Below are 23887 nucleotides of genomic sequence, written 5' to 3'. Positions count from 1 at the left end.
ACAATATCATCTAGAATAGGAGCTCTTCCATGTTGACTCAGATGAGGAGGATATATTTGAAATTTTATTTTTACATGAGACAAAAGCAAGATTTAGAACTCATCTGTTTGCTATCCTCAAAAACTCTGTAAAACAGACTCTGTAAAAGAGAATCAGAGTGTCAAAGGAAAAATTATTCTGAGATGAATGAAGAGATAATTAGTAAACTGGCCGAATTAAGAAATTAACCTAGGAAACCCAAAATCCAATGGTAAAATGAAAGTCCATATTTGAGGCAATATAAACAGAAGTAAAACTGAAACAATGTAAAATAATAATGTGGAAGAAAATTTAAAGAATATTTCTCAATATTCCGAGGAAAAATATAGAAGAGAAGATGACAGACGTGGAGGACAATTTAGATCCAGATGAAGTGTTACTGAGGAAGGAACAGAAAATTTATCACAAAAGAATTAATAAAATAGAAATTGCCCCAGAGAAAGACTTTATAAGTTTTATATGCTTATAAGGCTTTAAATAAAATGGCTTAGTGAGAACCAAATGAAATGAACTTTTTTAGTGACTAGAAATATTAGGGAAGTTCTATTGTGTTTTAAATCTCAATGATAAATTTAAAATCCTACAAAAATGAAAAGAGGAATGAGAGCTTATCTCTAAAGTAGCAAAAATAAGGCTGGCCTCACCCTTCTTTGCAAAATCAAATAAATGTCAGAAGACAATGAAACGATTTGTCCAGAGCAATGACTAGAAAAGTCTATAACTTAAGAGGTTTATGTCCAAGTTGTTCATGTAAAAAGGTTGCAGGAAGACATTTTACTAAGCTTAAAATCATAAAAACATTAATCATTTTTATTCTCTTCCTGAGAAAGCACACGAAAAATGAATGTCTGTCAACTAATAAAGAAAAAGAGAAATCAAGAACTCAAGACTGTGAAATCAAGACTGCAATAGCTAAACTATAAAGAAAATGGCAAGGAACTTTGAAATCAATTAACTTTTTAGGAAAACATATGAAGAACTGTTGTAACATGGGCACAAAATTAAATTCAAAGTCTGGAAAAGTCATATATTTTTAAAAATCAGGATTTTATCATAAAATGTTGATAGCATAACACCAGGTAAAAGGAATAAACACTGATAAATACAGAGAAGTAGAAAGTCAGGAAAAGTCCAGATAATTTACATTTCTCATTAGAAACTGGTACTTGAATTTGACAGAGGAATATAGGATTTAGTATATAGTTTATAAACAAAAGGATTATCACTAGTACAATTAATGAAAATATTTTGATCTTCCAAACCTCTACATAAGATGAAAACAGACAAAACCCAGAATAAAAAGGAAAAAGCAAGAAAGCATTAAACAAAGTTATAAAATTAAGCCCAAATATATGCTATAGCAACAGATATGAATGCCTTAAGTTTTCCTAATAGGTGTTACAAAATCAAGTACATACAGCTCACCAAAAATATTTAAATAAAATGTAAAAGATGGTTTTATTGAAACAATAGTATACGAGAAAGTCTTGCAAAAAACAATGATAGCAACAATATATAAGTCAGAAAGCAATATCTGGGAAAAGAAGATAATATTTTGTGCTGAGAAAAGGAATCCTCTGCAATGAAGATATAAAGGACATATAACTTATGACACATATAATATATTCATCAAACACCAAAATCTATTTAGCAAAAACTACCAGAAGTGAAGAGCTGAAAAATATTATACAATTGTCAGCCAGATTAAACAAATATTAAAAGGAATGAAATCTTTGAATAACATAATTATAAATAAATACATAAACTCATATATATACATATATTTCCTTATACCCTTCAAAAAGAAAATGTAAGTTCTTTTCAAATACCCCTGAGGCATTTTAAAATTTGTCAATTCATTTAGTATATTTGATAAAGTTCTTGAAAGAAAAAAACTGTATTCTCAAACTTCAATTTAATAAAATTATAATGTCAGAAATCTAAGTTAAAAGATGAAATAAATCTGGGGATTTCCTCAATAAACATTAGATCACAAAGTAAATAAACATCTGCTATACCTACTTTGGAAATAAATGAAAATAAGCAAATTCATATCAAGACTTACAGAATATAGACTCAGAAGTTAACAAAGCATGTAAGCCTGTGAATTGACAGGAGATTACTAAAATTAATTAATTAAACAATCAGCCTAAAGAGTCATAAAATAAGAATGCTTGCACAACAAAAGGCTAAAGAAGAAAAAATGCATGTAAGCAAAAATCATGAAAAATGGAAAATATTAAAACAGGTTCTCTGGGAAAACCAGAAAAGGAGAGGAATCTAGAGTCTCATTTAGAAAAAAATACAGCTAAAGAATTAGAATTTAAGAAATAATATCAAAAGAGATATCGGAATATTTCAGAGCACTAACATGTCAACAGACGGCACTTTTCATCTATCCTACTGGTAAAATTGGAGAGAAAATACCTAGTACTGGCTAGAGAATGATTACGCTACCATTGGAATGTAAATTGGAAATAGCGTATTTGGATCAAAATGTTTCATTATGTATCAAGTGCCTTACAAATATTCATACTCTTTTACTAAGTAATTACTTGTTAATTTATGCTAAGAGAGATATTAAAATTTGGATGATTTATGTTTTTATAGTACCTCCATATGTTGGGACATTAAGGGGCTGTTAAAAAAATTGCTTTTGAAGATTATTTTATGGCATGGTAAATCCACCCTATAATGGCTGGTATAAAAGAGAAGGATATAAAACGAAATATATAGTGTGAATTCTATTCAGTGAAAAGCAAAATATAGATGACAACACACTGACATGTTAACTGTAATTATTTTATGCAGTTATATTTTTGGTTATTTAAATATTTTCTATATGCTTTTCAAGATGTTAATGAACATCTATTCTTTTACTATCAAAATAAACTCTTTAAAATAAATGTAAAAGATTTCTAGTCAAGATAACATTGTAAACTTAAACATTCAATACATTTTCCTTGCTACACCACAAAAAGCAATTCTAGCTGAAATTTCAAAAATTAGAAGTTGTATCTATACCCAATACAAGATGAATATCTCTTATACACTGGAAAAGTACTGAAACAGACATCAAGGAAAAAATGCTGGAACCATGGGGTTGTTGAACTCTAGGTTAGAAACAGACAAAGGCAAAGAGAAGGCTGTCACTGAACACTGATTTAGGGACACAAGCCTGACTCACAGCATAAAACTCGTAGGGTCTCCAACCTGAATGGGTAAAATGAGAAAAATTAAGGCTGTGAACTATATCACCATGTACATGTGAGACAGGAATGAACAGAGCAAGTCACACAGACCAGATATGTGACAAGCTGCTAAGTACTGGATCTGCAATATCCCCAATACCACTATGAGACAGGAATCCTAGTCCACTAACATAGAAGTTGTTTCTGGCCTGAGATTCTCAGGGAGCCACATGGAAACTACTGAAAATCTGCAAAACATGATGGATATTTAAAGGTTTATTTTTAAAGATAATTTTCACTCTAGATGAGCAAGCAACCTAAAATTCAAAACCAATAAGGAAAAACAGAACCAAGAAGATATCCACAGAACTCAACAATCAGAGGAAAATTTGACTACAGAAAAAAGTGCACATAATTGTCTCTGAAAAACCTTAAAAAATACTTAAAGTAAAAGATAATATCCTTTTGAATAAGAAAGCACTATGTAAACTAATAGATATAAAATGAGAAAAATGACTAACAAAATAATCAATATAGAAACTAGAAGACAGAAATAATATAATTGAAATCTCCAAACTCTATAAATGAAATTAACGCAAGAGTTTCCATGGTTAAAGAGAACACTAGTGAACTGGAAGGCAGTAGTGAGGAAATAATTCTGAGTGCAGCACTGAGACATAATGAGGTTAAAAAAAAAAAAGAAAGAAATCAAGTAGTATGGAGTCTCCAACATATACCGAACACAATTTCCAGAATTTAGGCCACAGCAGGACTACTGAGAAGCAATTTAAACAGCTAACAATAGAGAACTTTTCCATAACTAAGGAAAACTCTAAATTCTCACACTAAAGGCACACACCAACTCAGCTGAGCATAATAAATAAAGACCACTCTGCACCTAGAAATACAAGGCAGGTCTGCCCAAAGGGCTCTGAGTGGAATTAACATGTGCCACTTCCCAGCCAAAGCATAAGTAAGTGGGTGTAAGTTTTCCACGCAACGTGGCAGCTCCAACCTGCTTTTTCTTGAGATGAAAACCTGGATCTGTGAGTCACCAAGTGGACTGCAGGAATCACACAATTACATAGCTCACTTTGTACAAGATTTTTGTTGTGTTAACCTACTAGATTTTGGAAGTACTAGTTACTAGCTTAACTTCATTAATAAAACACCTTTATGAGAAACACATAAACATGGTTACAAAATATTAAGAAAAAATTAAATTTAGAAGAAAAAGCAGCATGATTAGCAATCTTGACATAGAAGATATCTGTAGAACTCATTATTAGGGAATAATGACAAGAAAATAAGTCTGTTTCATGTTCAGTACAGACACAATTATTTTTCAAATATTTTCAATCCACAGTTAAATCCACAGATGAAAAACCATGGATATGGAGGGTTGACTATATATGGGTGTGCATTGCAGCTTTGCTCACAATAGCAAAAATTTGGAAATGATCATCTGTGTAGGAATGAATAAATAAGCTGCATCAAATTTATATGATGGAGTACTGTATAGCAGTTAAAATGAGTGAACACAATGTATATACCTCAACACAGATAATTCTGAAAAACGCAATGTTGATAAAATAAAAACACATTGTTAAAAGGTATAGTATAACACTGTGATAATAATTTTTAAAAGTACTAAAACAATGCCGTATACTATTTATAGCTGTATACAGATCTACGCAATAAAAGGATAAAAGGACTAGCTACACACCAAATGCATGACAATATTTGCTTTGGGGAAGCTGGGACTAGGGAGAGGAATGTGAGGGACTTCAGTTATTTCTAAATATTTTATTTCTTAATAATAAAAATGATCTGAAGTCCATATGACAAAATGTTAGCACTTTTTCATATTCAGTTGAATTGGGAAAACATGAGTAACATTATATTTTTCTCCATTACTTCTTAATTTTTAAAAATGTTTAATGAAAAAGCAAACAAACAGAACCTTTTCTTGTTTCCCTCCACTCCAAGTTGTCACTAGTCTATTTTTTTGGAATGCAGCAAGTCTTAAATTTGATCCTTGGCAGGAATGGAATAAGATATTACCCAAGGAGGGACTCCAACTCAAACCTCTCCCTCTGTGTAGTCTCACCAATCTGGTTTGTTGAACTTATTTGCTGGAGAACAAATCCCATCTATATTTTCAAGGCTTTCCCAATGGGCAGTGGGAATGATATAAGCTATAGCATGGCTGTGATTAACTCTGGCAAATGAAGAATTTACTGCTGTGCATGTGTCCTGAGTTTAGGTAACAGACAAATAAACATCCGTGATGCCCTGCATCTGCAGGGTCAGAAGCAAACAGACCTCTGAGGGGAGTCAGAGCCCTGAAGAATGTTAATGCTTCAGAATCAGAACCTGCTCTTGCCAAGACCCTGAAGCAAAGAGGGACTGTGCTGGTTGGATAGCAGCAGAGACCTTTTCTAAAAGCAGGCAGTACAACTAGAAAATGTGATTACTGCCTTTCAGGAGAGAGGAGAGAAACTGACCACAGCAAGTGTTGTGATACCAGCCTTCTGTTCTTTATTATTCACAAAATCCAGGGGCAAATTATCCTATATCAGCTACCAAATCATGGAGAAGGGTAGGCATTCCTGGGATAGTTAACAGCTTTTAATAACTACATGCCCTCTAGATCCTTGAGAGGAAGACCTGTGTCTTAATCTACCAAGTATTCCCCACAGTGCTTTGCACCGCGCTTTGTCCTTCATAGGCACACTATACATGCACATACGATGGGAATACCTATATACACATATGAATATAAATATATATGGATATAAATATACATATATATGTACACATGAACATATATGTATATATGTACATGAATACAATTATAGATATAATTTTTACATATTACAAATATATGCACATATGTATACACTATGCACACACATATAGTACACATACAGATACACACACACATATACATACTGATCCAAACTTTTTTTCCCCATTGTCCTTCTTCCTGGCCTAAGCATTTTAGAGAGTTTGGCCTTTGTTTAGTATTACTCACCATCTTGGGTTCCAGTGTCTCTAACAGGCTCTTGCATTCGTCAACGTGTGATAGGGTGAGTTCTGAGTTGAGAGCAACCTAAGGCTGTGCTTGGCTGGTTGTGTAACCACACCATCAGAACAGATTCTTTGGGACTTGGAGTACCAGAGAGAATAGAAGGGATTTCTAAACAAGCTGGGCTGCAGGCCATCAAATGAGCTACAAGTTACTGATGCACTTTTAAAATAAAATTGAGATTTGAACCCAGTATCGAATTCTCTTGCCTCTTAAGAATGGTCGCCTTTAAACATCCACACTGAACTCAGACCAGGGCTCGAGCCCAGCTCTCATTACTCACTTCTACCATAGCCTTTGTGATTCCCATTGAACACCACCTCCTCTTTCAGCTGTGTTCTGAGCAAGCACTGTGTACTCCTTTGCTGGGCTGAGCCTGGGTGGGTCCTTGAAATAAATAGGTCAAAGTCATTGTCCTCTGAATCAGCAGAGGCTTTCTATGAGGTTCAGATTAGATGAAAGTGATCTATGCCAGAGGAAAACCGCACCCCTCAACTCCCTTTTCTATAATGCCAGCATATTTTCTCAGAGGAAAGGCAAACACCCCACCCAGGGAATAGCTGAACAAAGCTTTGGTTTTGTGGAATGGGAAGCAGAGGCCTGAGAAGTGAAGACCTATCCATTCTGTAGTCATGTTAAATACCAAGGTGAGTCGGCGCTCATCCACTCAGCCTTCCATGGGGCTTTCTTTCATCCAAGTAGAAGGTTTCCTTGTCCATACACCCAACCTTACCAGGACTTAGAAAGGTGCTTAATAAAATAAAAATCAGGAGAAGAAACCAATATAAACCCAGAAGGGTAATATTAAGTTAATTTTAACTCATAAGCTCTCACAGAACCAATTACTTGTTTATTCCAAAAGATTTCAAATATTCTGGCATCCAATGAGGACAGCTTCTGAAATGCCAAAATATAACCTTACAACCCATGGTAAGTTACAAATCTATATAGCTGGTGGTGATAGGCATATGAAAAATCTCACCTACCATGTCTAGAGGGAACAAGGCTGTGGTTGAAATGTAAATGTGGATAAAGCACTTTAAACTCTACACTATGCTGTATTGATAGCTAGCAAAGTGATATTAAAGATGGTTTCATCTGGTGAGACCCCTTAGTTTTTCTCAATATAACACTAGCTACTACAAATATCATGGCCCATGTGCTTGCCATCCCAGAGTCTCAGAAAGCTAACTACCATTATCTAATCCGCAAAGTACTAGTCAGCAAAGTGCTAAACTAAAACTGTGAATTCTAGATGACAGCCAAACTCTAGCTCGGATTATCTCGAAGATGTGATGCCAGAGTCAAGAGCCGGTAGTGGATGATCAGTCAATGGAAGGATGGCTATTACCCAACTTGAACGGTAAGCATTTTGGAAAACAGCATTTGCAAGAGAATGCAAAATAGAAAGCCCCCTTAAACCAAACAAATATGTTCATGTTGGGTTTTGCATTTGAAACTGTACACATCTGTTTGTCTTAAAGCTGTTTGATCTAAGTTCAGGTACCAGGTACCTTATGGCTTTCATGATTCTAGGAGGTACAGGTGAAGAAACACTGTGCTAGGAATGAAGGCACCCCAATCCTATTCCTGACTCCATAGCTAATTCATCCTTGGCCGTGTTTTTGCCTCAGTTTCCTCATCAGTTAAATAAGATTAGTCCACTATTATGTTTTTGTATACCGTAAAATTGAACAATTTTTTGAGACCTAGGTGGAGTAAATCTTCACTTATGTCCATCCAAATAAAGAAATCACACAAATGGAAGAATGATTGCATCTTCCCTCAGAAATTAAAATGTTCTATATTAGAAGACAACTGAACACCAGAGTTTATTCATTACGTAAGACTTGTCGCAGAAGCTCAGCAAACAAATATTTCTATGCACGCCTAAAAAGAGAAATCAACTGATTTTTAAGATAAAATACTTGACTATACATATGATTTATGTATTGGTTTTTATGGGGGTTTTTGAGATAGGGTCTCACTCTGTGACTCCACCCAGTGCAGTGGTGTGTTCACAGCTCACTGCAGCCTTCACCTCCCCACTCAAGCAATCTTCTAACCCCAGCCTCCTGAGTAGCTGGGACCACAGGCACATGTCACCATGCCCAGATAATTTTTTATGTTTTATTTGTAGAGACAGGGTCTCACTATGTGCCCAGGCTGGTCTCGAACTCCTGGGCTCAAGCAGTCTTCTGCCTAAGCCTCCCAAAGCGCTAGGATTATAGGTGTAAGCCACCACATCTGGCCTATGATTTAGTTTTACCTTCTCATTTTAAGCTAAGAACCTAAACCTCTGAGAGGAGAAGCAAGGTTGTGAGAAAATATGCAAATGTCTGGGATTAAAGCCACATGATAAGTGTTCCATCAATCTCAGTCACAGGACCCCATGTTCAGGCATTTTTTCCGTCAGTTACTTCATTCTACTAAACATTTTTGCTTTGATGGATAATGATAATTTTCTTGCGTAAAACCAAGGGTTAGCAATAATCACGTATTTACCCTGTGTGCCAAACTAGACATATTTTCAGGGCAATAACCTTACACTAATCTTTAAGAATTACATGATTATGAGGGTTTTCATCAGAGCAATTAAATTAAAAAGAAATGCTCATCAAAATTAGTACTTTCTATGAGCAAACTTTGTCCATTTAAATGTGGGAATAATACACCAAAGTGTTTCTGGATATTCCAGGCAGAGAGACGAGGTGGCAGATGGGAGGTGGCTGCTATGACTAGGAAAATACTGCTTCAGTGAGCACGGTGCCACAGAAACCCAGCCTCTGGCTTTTGCAGGTTAGCCTAGGAGAGGCAGTCATACTTAATACCTATGATTATTGGAGCCACAAAATAAAAATTGGAAATCTTCCTCAGGCTAGGTAAGAATCTCATGTGTATGCCAAGTGTAATGAGTCTTTGAAAGAAGAACAAGAGGAGGTACACAGCTGGGGAGAGGAGAGGGGGGCAGAGCCTCGCACATCCACATCCTGCTGGATGGGGGCTGGAAAGGCTGCCACTCCCCCTGTGCAATTCCAAACACATTCTGGTACAGGAACATTTTAGGGGGCTCTCTATTGATGAATGGGGAACATGAATGACCGTACTTTATGTGTGCCTTGGCCTAGGTGTATTTGTTGTTGTTCTTAGTTTGGGTTTAGCCCTTTATGTGCATTACTTGTTTAACAGTCCCAACATTCCTATGGGTTAGATACTATCAGTATCCCCATTTTACAGATGACATAACCGTGGCACATAGAAGGTCAGTAATTTTCTCGAGGTTTCACAGATAGTAAGTGAAAACATGAGGATAAAAAATGAAATTGCCCATGCAACTATTAGTGTCACCCCACATTGTCTCCTGAAGCTCAGAGAAATGGAGAAGTGTATTCTGTTTGCTTTAGAAACTAAGTCCAATTGACTTGATTTCTCTCACCCTTAATTACCACAGCAAAATCTTAAGTCAGAGAGAAAGAGAGAGAAGAGAGAGAGGCCTTCCCAAGATGAAAGAGTCACCCTACAATATCACTCATGCACCATCTGGTGTGTGTTCCCTCCTCTGTAAATAATGAAGAAGGTGTTGATGGAAGGAAGGAATGCAAGCGGAAGATTTACCAGTAAGAAGGAATATGAGAAGAAAAGATTCTTAGGTTGGTTTATTATGAGCCCAGTCAATTATAAGCAGCACATTTTGACACCACTGTAAATAATACACTCTGTCAGAGTCAGCTGATGGAGATTTTCTGTTCAATATATTGTCATAGACACATGATGAAGGGGAGACGTGGGGTGGCATATGCGGTACACAGGAATAAATATGTGAATAATCTCACCAGCTTTGAGTCTTCCAAATACTAACTATGACAGATATGAACTATAGTGCATTCCCATTATGAGACTACGGGACTAATGATGATAAGTTGAGCAGTCTAATATCCATCTTTACCGTGTACAGCCGGATCTGATGGTTCTGCTTGAAGGGGCATCATTTGACCTGGCCTATTTCCAGTCATGTAATAATGAGAAGCATTTAACTGGGTCAAATGGAATGCTAGAGTGAAAGGGATCTGAAATCATCCACCACAACCCTCCCATTATACAAACGAGGGAAGATCAGACTAAGTGAAGTTAATTGCCTTGTACAAGATCAGTTGCAAAGCTAGTTACAGACAGTTCTACTGAACTCAGCGAAACTAAAAGAGGGCTGACCTTATTTCAGGTCTAGATGGGGTATTAGGGAAATGGAGGCCATTTTGGGGTGAGAAGTAATACCCTCAATATTTTACCCACCCTGAACCATGACTATGAAGATTATTTATTTGGCCATTTGAAATTATGTGCATTGTGATTGTTTAGTCAATTTGTCCACAAATGATAGGACTCATCCCATTCACTATTGCCTGATATTATCTAAATCTTACATGGCCAATGAGCTTTGCTCAAGTTCCAAACCTTTCCAGAGGCCTTCCCAGACTGCACCACTCTCTTTGCCCTCATTGCCTCCCATACCCTTGGTATCACTGACTTACAGATTATGCTGGATTCTTAATCGCTCTTGTATCTTTAACTTAACGATCTATGTACAGTGTCAGTTACTTAAGCTTGAGGAATGTAGCTCATGAGATGCAACCAAGAGTGAGGTGAGCTCCTACACTTTACTCCCAACCTTGGGAATCAGAACTTCTGGTGAGTGATGGGTAAGATTTTTAAAGACTTCCCCAAGGGGTCGTTCTATACCCTACAGTTCGAAAACTCTGCCGTAAAGAACCTTCCTGATCAGCATTGGTTCAGAAGACATGATGCTGACTGTTCTTCTGTTTCTGAGATTTCAGATATGACACTATTTAGAGGGAAACCCCAAAAGATATTCCCCACCCATACGCCTGCATTTAGCACAGGGGACTACCACTGTTACCATCCATCCCTGCTGGCACCTCTCAGAAGCACTGGGTGCAGGCGCAGTGGCACTTTGAGAGCCTGCAGCCAGCAGTGAGGATCAAGGAGCACTCCTGATCTTCTTGTCTAATCCTGAGATCACTCAGCCAGCTTGGTCCTGTGGTTCAAACTCACTTGAGTGAGGTTAGGAGCTCACTGAATTCTTTCTAAACTTCAGAGACAACACCTTTCCTTTGTGTTAGTTTAGGCACATCTTCTAACTGGGCGCTTTCCCTGCTAAGGATCAAGCAGTGCAAGGAGAGAATGGTGTTTTTGAATCAGAAGAACAGATTGTGCATGAACCACCATGCACCCTCAACCCAACCACAACCCAGGCAAGCATTAAGTAATTGGCCCTAATTAGCAAAACTAATGGCAATATTAGGAAACAAGCTGATGGTAGACATTTAAATGTCACAGATATGTCTTTGAGCTTTCCTGTCTCATAAAACCTTCCCTGAAATTTAAAAAAATTCTCTTTGGGGCTTGCTACTGCATTTCTTTTAGAGTCTGAACTCTCCCTCTGTGCTTTTGTGTCACAGAGATAATAATAGACCTGGAGAGAAATGTGTATGTTTGTCTTTGTTAGATTCAAATTTAATTTAGGTAAAATATTAATGGACTAAGCAGCCAAAAATTAATTTCACTCATGTTTATATTTTACAAATCAAATACTGAGTTCAACTACTAAGTATTCATCATAAGCTTACTTATTTTAAATTTTCATCATAGTTCACTTAGGCTCAATTTTGACAACACAGTGTATGTACATATGGCAGGTATGCACATATACATTGTCTAAACATGTATCTCTAAATTGCCAGAAATTTGACAAACTTTATTAAAAAAAAGAGTCTGCATGTTTGAATCATCCAAAAGCCATCTGAATACACATTAACATATACATTTGGATTCAAATTTATGAAACGGCATGAGAAATAGCTTTCTTAACTCCACAGTAATAAAGAATCGAGAAACAGATATTTTTTCAATTTCTTCCCATTACATTTTATGTCCACATTTAGATGTATCTGGGAAGATCTCTAAACTGACACCACTGTGAGAGGCCCCTGGGATTCACAAATATCATTTCCATGACACTCAGAAAACGGGGGAAAAGAGGAAAATGTGAGCGGTGATAAATTGGAGCTAATCTCTTTCTGCCACAACCTGAAATGATACTTGGCCAGGTAATCTCCCCATCCTCCATGCTGTAATAAGAGCTTGTCTATCTCTCCCAGATGCCCAACCCGAGTACTAGTATCTCCCACAAATGCTTGTACTAGAAATTTCCTAATGGGATTCCAAGGCTCTGAAAGAAAGAGAGAAATGAAAAATAATTCTGTCATGCAATGAGTATTGTAAGTTTAAAGAATAACCAAAGCCCAGTGTTTGAGGCCTGCTATAAAGAAAACAAATAACGGATTCTTTGGGGTCATAAAGCTCAATCAACCATAAAACACACAGAGAGCCTCTGATGAGGGTCCTGTGAGCCTCCTGGAGCTCTATTCAGTGTGATGCTGGGCCCTGACCCGCTGCTTATATCCCCTCATGTCCAAGCAATGAGATTCTTCCTTCTACATGTGAAAAGCACAGATGCCAAGGGTTCTCAGGCTTCCTGCATCACCACACGTCTGTGTTTTGATAATGTCTTTGGGCATATGTGATCTCAAGGACACTTCTGTTTCACACTAAGGGTAAGTGAAGCCCCATCAATAACAGAGAGTTGCCGCTGACTAGGTGAGTGACTTGCGATAAGTCACTAGCTTCCCTGCTCTTCAGTTTCCTCATCTGAAAATCAGTGATACAACCTACCTTATGGTTGTTATGAGGACCAAATAAAATAAACAGGTAAAGCCACTTGGCGAAGGACTGGCTCAGAGGAAGCTTTAGCAATGACCATCATCCCTTAGGTTGGTGGAAGAAGCAGGACTGACCCAAAGGCCTTGTTTGTTACAAATTCAATCAAATGAGCATCCCAAAGTAGGTGAGGAGAGGTGGTGAATGCACCCATTCTGCTCTTCCCAGGGCTCCTTCCGGAAAGGTTTTCCTGGTTCCTCTGCTGTCACATTTTCTGTTGCACTTTAAGCCTTGGTGTGAATGTCACTGGATTCTGGGCATTGTCTTCTCTTGCCTGACTGTCTTATTTTACTCTTGTTTACTGTTTTCCTCACCAGATGTACACACCTGAATTCAGGATTTACCCAGAGAAGCCTGCCCAGAACTTTGAGCACAGTAGGTCCTCAATAAACATTTCCTAGGGGGCTAACTGAAAGGAAAACAATCAAAACAAAACAATAAAATTAAGGTGTTGGAAGAAGCTGTGCTCTTATCTTGGCTCTGGCAACAGATATCTCTTTAACCTTGGAAAATTTCTTTGGACATCAGATTCTTCATCTATAAAGATAATCTCCAGTTTCCTTTGTGGCTCTAAAATTCTCTAACTTGAAGAAAAACAGCTGCAAAAGGATTCTTTGTTATCTGGTCTGCTAAGCTGTTCAGGCAGAGGAATGAGACCAGCTGAGCCTGGATCCATCGCTGTGTCCAACTTTTTAAACTCAAGTTCCTTCTATTTCTTCCAGCTGTTCTTGCTGGTCCTGTTTTATTTATTTATTTTTTTAGACTATGCAAGTTCAAAGCAATGAGCCCATTGCTATGATTAAAAGACCACTGGGTCTGTGCCATCACTATCTGACAGGGCTGGAACCAAAAGCTCTGCACACCAAGAGGAGAAAATGTGTTCACAAACCAGAGAAGTCCTGTTTGAGGAGTGGGAAGGGACTGGCAGCTCAGGTAGGTGGAGGGAGAAGGAAGGTGGGCGACACTGGCTCTGGCTGCAGTCTCCCCTAACAAAGCCCCATCCACCTGACCAATTGAAGGCTTGGCCAGAGTTATGAGTTTTCTAAACTCAATCAGAACACAGCCTGCTCTGACCTATAGAAGGTCACTCAACCGTACTGAATACTTGTCAGCATTCCATGGCTAAAGATAAAGTGAATGGACGTCCAAGACAGATTTAGAAATGTCCCTGTATATCCCTGGAACCTGTGAGCATCTGTCTGGGTGTGAAGAGCACAGGGGTGGATTTCCCTTCCCTGAGCACCGATGCTCTCCGCATAGGAACCTGTAGTGCCTGCTCCAAAGCCAGCATCTTGTCACTGTCACTCAGCAGCTTGAGAAGCAAAGGCACAGGGAGTGCCACACCTCCCTGCACAAGGGTTCACTTTGAAACCCGTAGAGAAGGTGAGGGCAACAGCATGAACAGCCTGACCTGCAGGTGGCCCAGCCCACATTCCACAGGGCTCATGTGGAACCCCAAGTGGCCTGGGTCATCACAGCCATCCTAGGAGGGCAACACAAGCCTGGTTTCATTTTCCACCCTTTCACCATTTACAGTCCAATGACAATGGAGTCTTTTCTTCACACACTTATTTTTCACTCACAGAAAGCATTAATGACTCTGCATTTATTAATATACTCCACATTTGTCCCTGAGCACTGTGGGAAGCGGGAGCCAGCCTCTATTTCACTAACTCTGCCACCAACCTCTACTCATCTGCTTCTCACATGAGAACATCAGAGACATGGTTCCAAGGCCCATCACCACAGAGCTGGGCTCTCAACCCACCTCTGGCTCCTCTCAGCATACAGAACCAATATCATGTTTTCATATAACTAAAGCCTAGCGTGTCCTTTTATTTCTGGAGCAACAGATTTAAAGTAAAAACTGGGGAAATAACCAATATCCCAAAAATTAAAGCATTTTGCTTCAGCCCAGTTTCTCCCTAACCCTCACAATCCATCTGGAATGTAGGCTTTCTTTTTGTCATCTGTTCGGTCTTTTTATCATTATCCTTTGCCAGAAAGATAAGTGTTAGCAGGACCTATGAGAGACCGAATCTTCATTCCTGAACTTTGCTTCTAGATAATGGCTTTTTGCTTCTGGATAATGTCTTCTGAGAACTGCTATGGCCTAAGGTACTGATGACCCAAGCACCAACCCCTCTATGAGCATGGCACTTGGGACATTTGTGTGAAGAGTATTCACCAAGAATAAGATGAGCGGGGGTGATTCTATGAAGTCTTTCAACTTCTCCCAACCCAGAAGGCAGTGTGACATCAAAAATGTAATCAGTTGCTGACCCAGACATTGTCTCCTTTTGGTTATTTCTTGTTTTAGCTTCTCTGAAGAGCAGGAAGACAAAGTGCTTGACTTATAAAACCACTCTTGATTCAGAGTCATGGGTAGCCTTCTCAGTCCCCTCCACAGAGGGAAGCCTCTCCCTTCTGCTCTGAGAGGTAACATGCCATGGCCTCAGATGACTGCATCAGCCTCTAGTGGCCTGTCTGAATCTAAGCAGCTTCTGGGGCCTCATGAAAGAGAAACTTGGGGTGAGAACATTGGGAAGGACTGAAAGGCCACATCTTGGCAAGGCCAAGTTATAGTTCTGCCAATGCCTTCCTGTGTGGCCTGGAGAAGTCACTTCATCTCCTCCAGAGCCTCAGTGTTCTCATTCACAAAGAGATGTGCTTGGGCCGATAATCTCTAAGCTCCTTTGCAAGTGATATATTCAATGATACTTTCCCTTCCTTAAGTACTGGGAAGGACTATGTCATATAGATTATTCTTAGTTTATCTAAAAAACTAAGTAGATTACCAGAGAATGGTCTAGTTTATGGGGCAGAAACGTGGCAGGGTGGGAGGGAAGGATAATCCAGGCTGTGTTTCATGAGAAACTTAAGAATAAGAAGGGTCTGTATCTTAATTACCTCTGTAAACCCAACTCCTAACACAGTGCCTGGCTACTGGCATTAATGAAGAGTTGTTTGATTAATCTACAAATGAATACAACTCAAAAGCCAAGCAGACACTTAATGGTTGGGTGGCAGTGTGTGCGTGTACAGGTAGGTATACACATTCACACACACATACATATATCCATACCATTTATCACAGATCACTTACCATCCAGCACTGGTTTTATTTTTCTAGATGGTGAGCTCTTTGAAGATGGAAAGCTCATTTATTGTTGTATCCTGAGCATCTTGCCAGAGCCTGGCCAATGGTAAATGCTCAGTGGCACTTATTGGATGGATGGATGAATGAATGGATGGATGGACAGATGGATGAGTGGATGGCCTAAGGTACTCATGGATGGATGAACTGATGGGTGGGTAGGTAAGTGGGTGGATTTATGGGTTAGCTAAGTGGTGATATCCAGTTTGTGACACATTCTGTGTAACCTCAGTTCCCATTGCTCCTTACATAAGAAAGAAAGAAGCAATCATGTTTCAGCATTTTTTAGCTTTGGGAAGGGGAGTGGGAGAAAAAGGGGAGAGAAAGAGGGAGTGAAGAGATAGGAGGGGAGAGAAAGGAAGAAAATTAAAGAGAGAGAGAGAGAGTAAATAAGAAAGAGAGAGAGAAAAAAAGAGATTAAAACTTAACAAAACCCAAGAAAAGTCAGAACTCATTTTCCATGGGCAGGAGGAGATGTCTGTTCAAGGTTCACTATAATCAGGACATTGATGTTTTGGAAAAATAAGATATTAAAGTTCTTGAATACAAAAAAGAAAGAAAGAAGAGGATATGAGAAGGCAACAGTTACCAAGAAAATGAATTAGGAGAGAAAACGAATTATATTTTTTATTCTTCTGTTACTAACCCTTTTGGATTTTAATGTTTATATTTTTAAAGAGCCTTTAAAAAAGCAAAGGTGAGGTGGAGTGGGATAAGAAGAAGCCTAAGCGTCAACCATGCATTTGGATTTGGGAATTTGTCAAAGGTGTGGGAATTTGTCAAAGGTGAGAGACTGAATTTCCACCTTGACATGCAAATGCATTCTTATTTCCTATGCTGTCGCCCAAGTCACCCTGGTTACATCAGTGTTCAGCTGAGTCAGAGCATTTGGATGGGCTCACTCTAAGAGGGTTAGAATTTGATCCCATGACAAATAAGAATGGTTACCTGGCACTGCAGGTGAAGAACAGGCTGGAGCAATCTCAGGGCTGGGGCTAGAGGAAAACACAAACCAGCAACATGATCCATGGCTTCAGTCAATACTCAGGAAAGCCTATTTCTGTTTCCCCAGTGCGTTCCTGAGAGCAGTGTTGATTACCAGATAACCAGAGTCTTTGGTCTTTCACAGAATCAACAGCTTGGCAGCCACAAAGTGACAGGCATCAATACTAATCGCACAAGCCTGTCTGTAGCTGGACCCCAGGACAGGCCGTGCTCCACCTGCCTGTCCAAGAAATGCACGCCAGGTCCTCCCCATGGAAACCACTAACAACACTTATTAGCTGTTTCCTTGCCTGCTAAGTGGTCTGTGCCTCGTTCTGGCTCCCATTATTATATTCATTTCAGCCTGTGTCCTGAAACCTGATACCTTTGTACTTGGGGGGTGTGGTGTCTGCCACCTGACAATGATTTGACATGACACAGTGACAGAAAACAAGGAGACAGGATGGAAATAAAAGAATAAGAAATCCAAGCAGCTACACTGGCGGCTCCAGGCAGGGGTGCCCATTAACACAGATACCTGTGAGAAGGAACACAGGCCCCACTGCCACCCTGGCCAGATCACTTAATTCAGCTGCACTGGACTGGGAGACAGCAATCTTCCTTTGCTGAACAAGGCCCCATGCAACATTATAGTGGGTTCTTCACTTATACTTCTGAGTTCAATGTGGCTCCACTTCTGCCCATTCCCTCCCCTCCCAATTCATCCGCCAGCAGTCCATTCTGTCCTTCTTCCTGGGCCTCTGTGCTGATAATCACAGCTGCCATTAGGGTGGTGGCACTGGTGGCACACATGGCCACCACATGCTAGTGCTATAGTCATTCAAGAGACCAGCTAGGGCATGTGGGGAGGGGGCAATGAGGTGAGCCCTCGGCCCGTGGAAGCCACTATGCAGACACAATACTGGAAACAGTGGGGTTTCCAAAGAGCAATTTCAAGGCTAGGGTCCATGACTAACTGGCAGTGACATGAGCCAGTGATAAGCCTATTCTGCGCCTCATCTGTAAAATGAACAAGATGGACTAGATCACTGATGCTTGAACCTTCTGTTGTTACATTAGACAATAAAATTTTTTCATTAAATGATATTTTCCTTTAGACCCCAGTGTATTGAATGGATAAAAATGGATTTGGAAGCCAGCTTTGGGAGCCCTGTTAGCTCCACCCTGATGGGTCACCACTTGTTCCCCCTGCACCTCTGACAAGTCTCATTGGAATGCTAGAATTCCGCATAGCTCAGTGTGAAAGGCATGGGGCCAGATCATCTCAAAGTTCCCTTCTAGGCCAAATGTTGCTTTGGGTGAGGCATGGGAGACAGAGAAATTGTAGGGAAGGTTTGGGGATTTGCACCGTGTTAGAATGATCTTTCCTCTAGCATTTTATGTTCTCTTTTTGTCATCAACAGCCCTACAGCTCAGGGCTCTGTGGAGATCTATGGCAAGACAGAGCCAGTAAAGGAGCACCACACCAGCAGCACCCCCAGGCCCACACCCACGACATTTCAGAAAGTTCAGCTTTCACTTTTATACACACTGGAACTAAAATACAGGGAAAGAAGTCAAGGGAAAGTTTGGAGATAATCAGCCAGGACTCAAGTTTTACAAAGGGAAATTAAGCACCAGTACACTTGCTATATTTAGGATCTGTATTAGTCCATTTTCACACTGCTGATAAAGACATACCTGAGACTGGACAATTTACAAAATAAAGAGGTTTATTGGACTTACAGTTTCACGTGGCTGGGGAGGCCTCACAATCATGGCAGAAGGTGAAAGGCATGTCTCACATGGCAGCAGACAAGAGAAGGGAGCTTGTACAGGGAAATTCCCGTTTTTTAAAGCCATAAAATCTTGTGAAACTTATTCGCTATCATGTGAACAGCACGGGAGACCACCCCCATTATTCAATTACCTCCCACCAGGTTCCTCCCACAACATGTGGGAATTCAAGTTGAGAATTAGGTGGGGACACAACCAAACCATATCAGGATCTATCATCTCTTTATCATCCACAGCACCACCACCATCACCAATGACAACGAATCCAGCATAGGTCTAAGTTATCATCCACTGGGATAATAACAACAGGCAGCACTGATTATACTCTTATTATTGGTTATTATGAGGATGTTACATTTATAACTGCCCTAGAGCAAGGCACCATTATTGTCACTTTTAAAAATGAGAAAACTGAGCTACATACAGGAGACTAGTGACTTTCTCAAGCCCCAGAATTTGCAAGTAGTAGAGAAGTGATTTGAACTTATGCAGTCTAACTCTGAAGTCTGTGCTTTTAACACTGTCGTCACCCAGGGAAGCAGGCTGATGTGAGGAGAGAACTGAGCTGTAGGAGGGCTCACACAAACTGTGCAGTCAGCAAAGTTGCTTTTCAACAGCAAAAAGCTCCTAGTTATGGGCCCGTTCGCATCCATGCTCCTCTCTGCATCAGCCCGCCTCAAACACGTAAATTCACTCCCCAAGCACCTAGTTATTATCTTGCTTGTTCTCTACTTAAAGCATTCAGAAAATATTTAGATCTTTTTTTTCCACCCAGATGTAAATAACTGATAATAGGTTAATCTGCTTCTTCCTCCCAGGGAGAGACATATTTTTCACCAGAAACCAAAGCCTTGAACTGTAGAGATAAAGCTCCACTTGTAAAATTTCAATGTCAGCATAGAATAAGGATTATGAATTCTTGAAATCATCAGAGTCTTCCTAGTGTCCCTGAAGTCTATTAGGTGGTTTTTAATTCATTAGGAAAAAACTATCCAGATGGAGAAATGGATATAATCTCTACTCCAGATACTATTCAATGGAAAAAATACTCAGAAAGCTTTGGCCTTGAATTTGTGGAGGCAGAGGAGGGGGTTGTGGGACAATTAGGAGGTTGAAATCACTCACTGACCCTATCTGAAACTCTATATTCTATACTGCCACCCTTGGACCACCCTTGGGTTAACATTTCCTCTGAACATTCTAGCTCCCTTAGGTTATTTATTTACTTACATTTGATATTTTCTTTTACAGAGCAGAGAAAATGGAAGGAAAACAATATTCCTATCCCTAAAAACACTCACTGTGGTTCCCTAGGAGGAAACAGTAGAGCTCCAGGAGACAAAAATCCAGCTCTCAATTCCCTCCTGCCTGCCTGGAGAAATCACTCAGCACCCGTAATGAGAGGATGCAGTGGCTAATTTTGTACCATAAATCACAAGGTTAATACTATGACTAAAAAGTGATACCATCAGCTCCTTTCCTTCAAGGCTGTTAGATCTTAGTCAATTACTTATGAACAAAGATTTAAAGACTTCAGAAGCCCCTCTGCCAACAAAAGATGCTTTTACTGTTAGCTTTCTTTCCCCTTGAAAAGATTCTTGAACTCCTCTGGAAGGGGCTCCAGTGTGTTCTCAGCATTTATAGGAAGAGGTTTGCAAGGGAGCAGCAATTAACAATGCCAGGCTAATAAAAATCCTGGAGCCTCAGTATCTTCTGAATGATACTGCCGACACTCCTAAGGTAGCCTAATACGAGAGGAGAAAACACACAGAGATGGGGGAAAATATACCTTGTTTCCGACATATTTCTCAAGCTGTTTAAATATGAAACAAAATCCTACCAGGCTACAAGTTTCCAGCTGTTATGATATCATAAGATAAATTTACAGCTAGAGAAACAGCATGTTTGCTTTTATAAAGTATGGAAATATAAATGTTCCAAGTGTTAAAACTGTCCAAACAAATTAATTCAAGTAAAAATAGTTGTCTCGGATCTGGTTCTCTCACATTTGCTTTCTTTTTATAGAGCTCACCAGCACACTTCTCTCAACGCAGAGAGGAGAGGAAGTGCAATTCCATCTCGGCAGGCGCCTTTTCTGCATTTGGAAACCCAAGGAGCCCTACAGCAGGGAAGCTGGGTGGCCCCTGCCCAGGCCCCCATGGCTGATCTATTAATTAAAATCTTAATTTAGCCTCTTTGCAACAGAAGAAAGACACTGTGAAAGGGGACTGAGGCTAAAAATCTTACGATGTGCTCCCATTTGGGGATGTTCATTGTAGCTACAATGAAAAAAGAGTTTCTTTCCTCAGTGACTTTGAAAAGAATAGAGTGGTGATTAACAGCAATTTTTTTTTTAATGAAACGCAACCCGTCATCCCTGTCATCTTCTGGCCATCCTCGCTTGTACGCGCCTCCCTGACAAGAGGAATAATAATCATCATACATCACTGCTCTCCACGTCCAATCACCTAAATCTTCCCTCGCTGCAGCCTCTGAGACTCAATTACTTTATTGACATGCAATCTTCATAAGGGGAGAAATATTGTGCATGTAAGGTCACTTGGTTATGAAGACATATTATCATATTATCTGCATGAGGGTTGCAGGGCTAAGACCTGACAGAGCTAATTATAATGGTACATGATAGAAAGCTCAGTACACATTATTCGCATGGCTGCACTAAAGGTGAGCTAAGTCCATGACATCATGAGTTTTTGAGAAAATAATGCAACATTGGCTTGGCGGCTGTAACTTTTTTTTTTTTGTTAATTCTCCAACATTTTTACTTTGGGGTTTTTCATGCATGATGAAATAACTAGTTAAGGGATTCCTCCTATCTTGAAAAAGGCAGTGGCATGCCAGTGTGGGGAATGTGTGTGTGTGTGTGTTTGTGTGTGTGTGTGTGTATAATTGGCAGGGTTATTTCCTCATCTAACAGCAAGGTTTCAGTCCACTTCTCAGCAACTGAAATGACAATGACTCAAAGGAGAAAGGCAAATGGATACAAATTGGTCAACATGATAACAGAGTAAAACTTCTTTACCTCACCCTCAATTAACCCCTTCTCAAATCCTTCCCCTTTCTTTCTCTTGCTTTGCCTGGCAGAGCCTTAAGTTGCTGGGATTTAGCAGTCCTGAATATGGTTTCTTTGTTCAGATATACAGTTATTTGAGCTTTTGCCAGCAGCCACGTGCTAGAAGTTCCATGCCTTGCTAAGATGCACAGCTAGTGAGTCATTCTCTTTTTTGCATCCTCAGCCGGTTTACCCTCCTCATTCACCCCCACTGTATCTCATAGGGAGAGGCCAAGATGCTGAGCTCCAGTGGCAATCTCACAAGAAAGGAGTATCCAAGAAAAAAGTCTAGGCCAAGTCTCTGTGTTTTCTGGTCTTGGCACAGTTAATGTGGGGCCTGGAAGGAAAACTGGATCGATGGATCTATGATGGGTCTATAGCTCATGAAGTTAAATGATGAAATTAACTTCATCATGAAGTTAAAAGATGAAATTAACTTCATCATGAAGTTAAAGCCATGTCAATCTCCACAGATGGGCCTGAGCCAGCATCAAGGATGAAGGTCTGGACACCTAGTCTACTTAACAGGGGTTTATGAGCTTTCAAAAACAAGTAAAGGAACCATTCAAAATATCACTACAATCCAAGACAGGCTGGCTCCTCCTAGATATGCTCTCTCTCTCTCAATGAAGAACTAATTCAATAAAGTAGAAGAAAGCACTAAAGACTTCTAAACTCCAGAAACTGATTTAGTCTTGTAGCATGAGTGTTTTGGCTCAGCCACAAGAAGTAGTGAGCATAATAAGAAATTAAGGTTGTCCAAAGCCTGGCAGAGACACAACAAAAAAAAAGAGAATTTTAGACCAATATCCCTGATGAACATTGATGCAAAAATCCTCAATAAAATACTGGCAAACCGAATCCAGGAGCACATCAAAAAGCGTATCCACCATGATCAACTGGGCTTCATCCCTGGGATGCAAGGCTGGTTCAACATATGCAAATCAATAGACATAATCCAGCATATAAACAGAACCAAAGACAAACACCACATGATTATCTCAATAGATGCAGAAAAGGCCTTTGACAAAATTCAACAGTCCTTCATACTAAAAACTCTCAATAAATTAGGTATTGATGGGACTTATCTCAAAATAATAAGAGCTATTTATGACAAACCCACAGCCAATATCATACTGAATGGGCAAAAACTGGAAGCATTCCCTTTGAAAACGGGCACAAGACAGGGATGCCCTCTCTCACCACTCCTATTCAACATAGTGTTGGAGGTTCTGGCCAGGGCAATCAGGCAGGAGAAGGAAATAAAGGGCATTCAATTAGGAAAAGAGGAAGTCTAATTGTCCCTGTTTGCAGATGACATCATTGTATATCTAGAAAACCCCATCGTCTCAGCCCAAAATCTCATTAAGCTGATAAGCAACTTCAGCAAAGTCTCAAGATACAAAATCAATGTGCAAAAATCACAAGCATTCTTATACACCAATAACAGACAAACAGAGAGCCAAATCATGAGTGAACTCCCATTCACAATTGCTTCAAAGAGAATAAAATACCTAGGAATCCAACTTACAAGGGATGTGAAGGACCTCTTCAAGGAGAACTACAAACCACTGCTCAATGAAATAAAAGAGGATACAAACAAATGGAAGAATATTCCATGCTCATGGATAGGAAGAATAAAATTGTGAAAATGGCCATACTGCCCAAGGTAATTTATAAATTCAATGCCATCCCCATCAAGCTACCAATGACTTTCTTCACAGAATTGGAAAAAACTACTTTAAAGTTCATATGGAACC

At 39.5% G+C, this 23887-nt stretch overlaps 1 protein-coding gene across 3 annotated transcripts in view, besides 1 other annotated feature; it reads right to left on the bottom strand.

The window, feature by feature from the left end:
• The window catches only part of LRMDA (leucine rich melanocyte differentiation associated), a 1128545-nt gene that overhangs the window by 109185 nt on the left and 995473 nt on the right, over positions 1 to 23887 (bottom strand). The gene's annotated exons all lie outside the window — the stretch shown is intronic.
• Positions 17174 to 17871: an enhancer, noted in NCBI's record as "H3K27ac hESC enhancer chr10:78192871-78193568 (GRCh37/hg19 assembly coordinates)". NCBI's record gives its function as "activates a minimal SCP1, AML or CMV promoter by ChIP-STARR-seq in naive H9 embryonic stem cells {active_cell/tissue: H9 hESC(naive)}" and the evidence as "EXISTENCE:reporter gene assay evidence [ECO:0000049][PMID:30033119]".

The sequence above is a fragment of the Homo sapiens genome, chromosome 10, assembly GCF_000001405.40.
Source record: "Homo sapiens chromosome 10, GRCh38.p14 Primary Assembly".
In the NCBI taxonomy this organism is placed as follows: Eukaryota; Metazoa; Chordata; class Mammalia; order Primates; family Hominidae; genus Homo; species Homo sapiens.
Note: the sequence above shows the minus strand (reverse complement) of the source record. Positions and strands in the feature narration are given on the sequence as shown.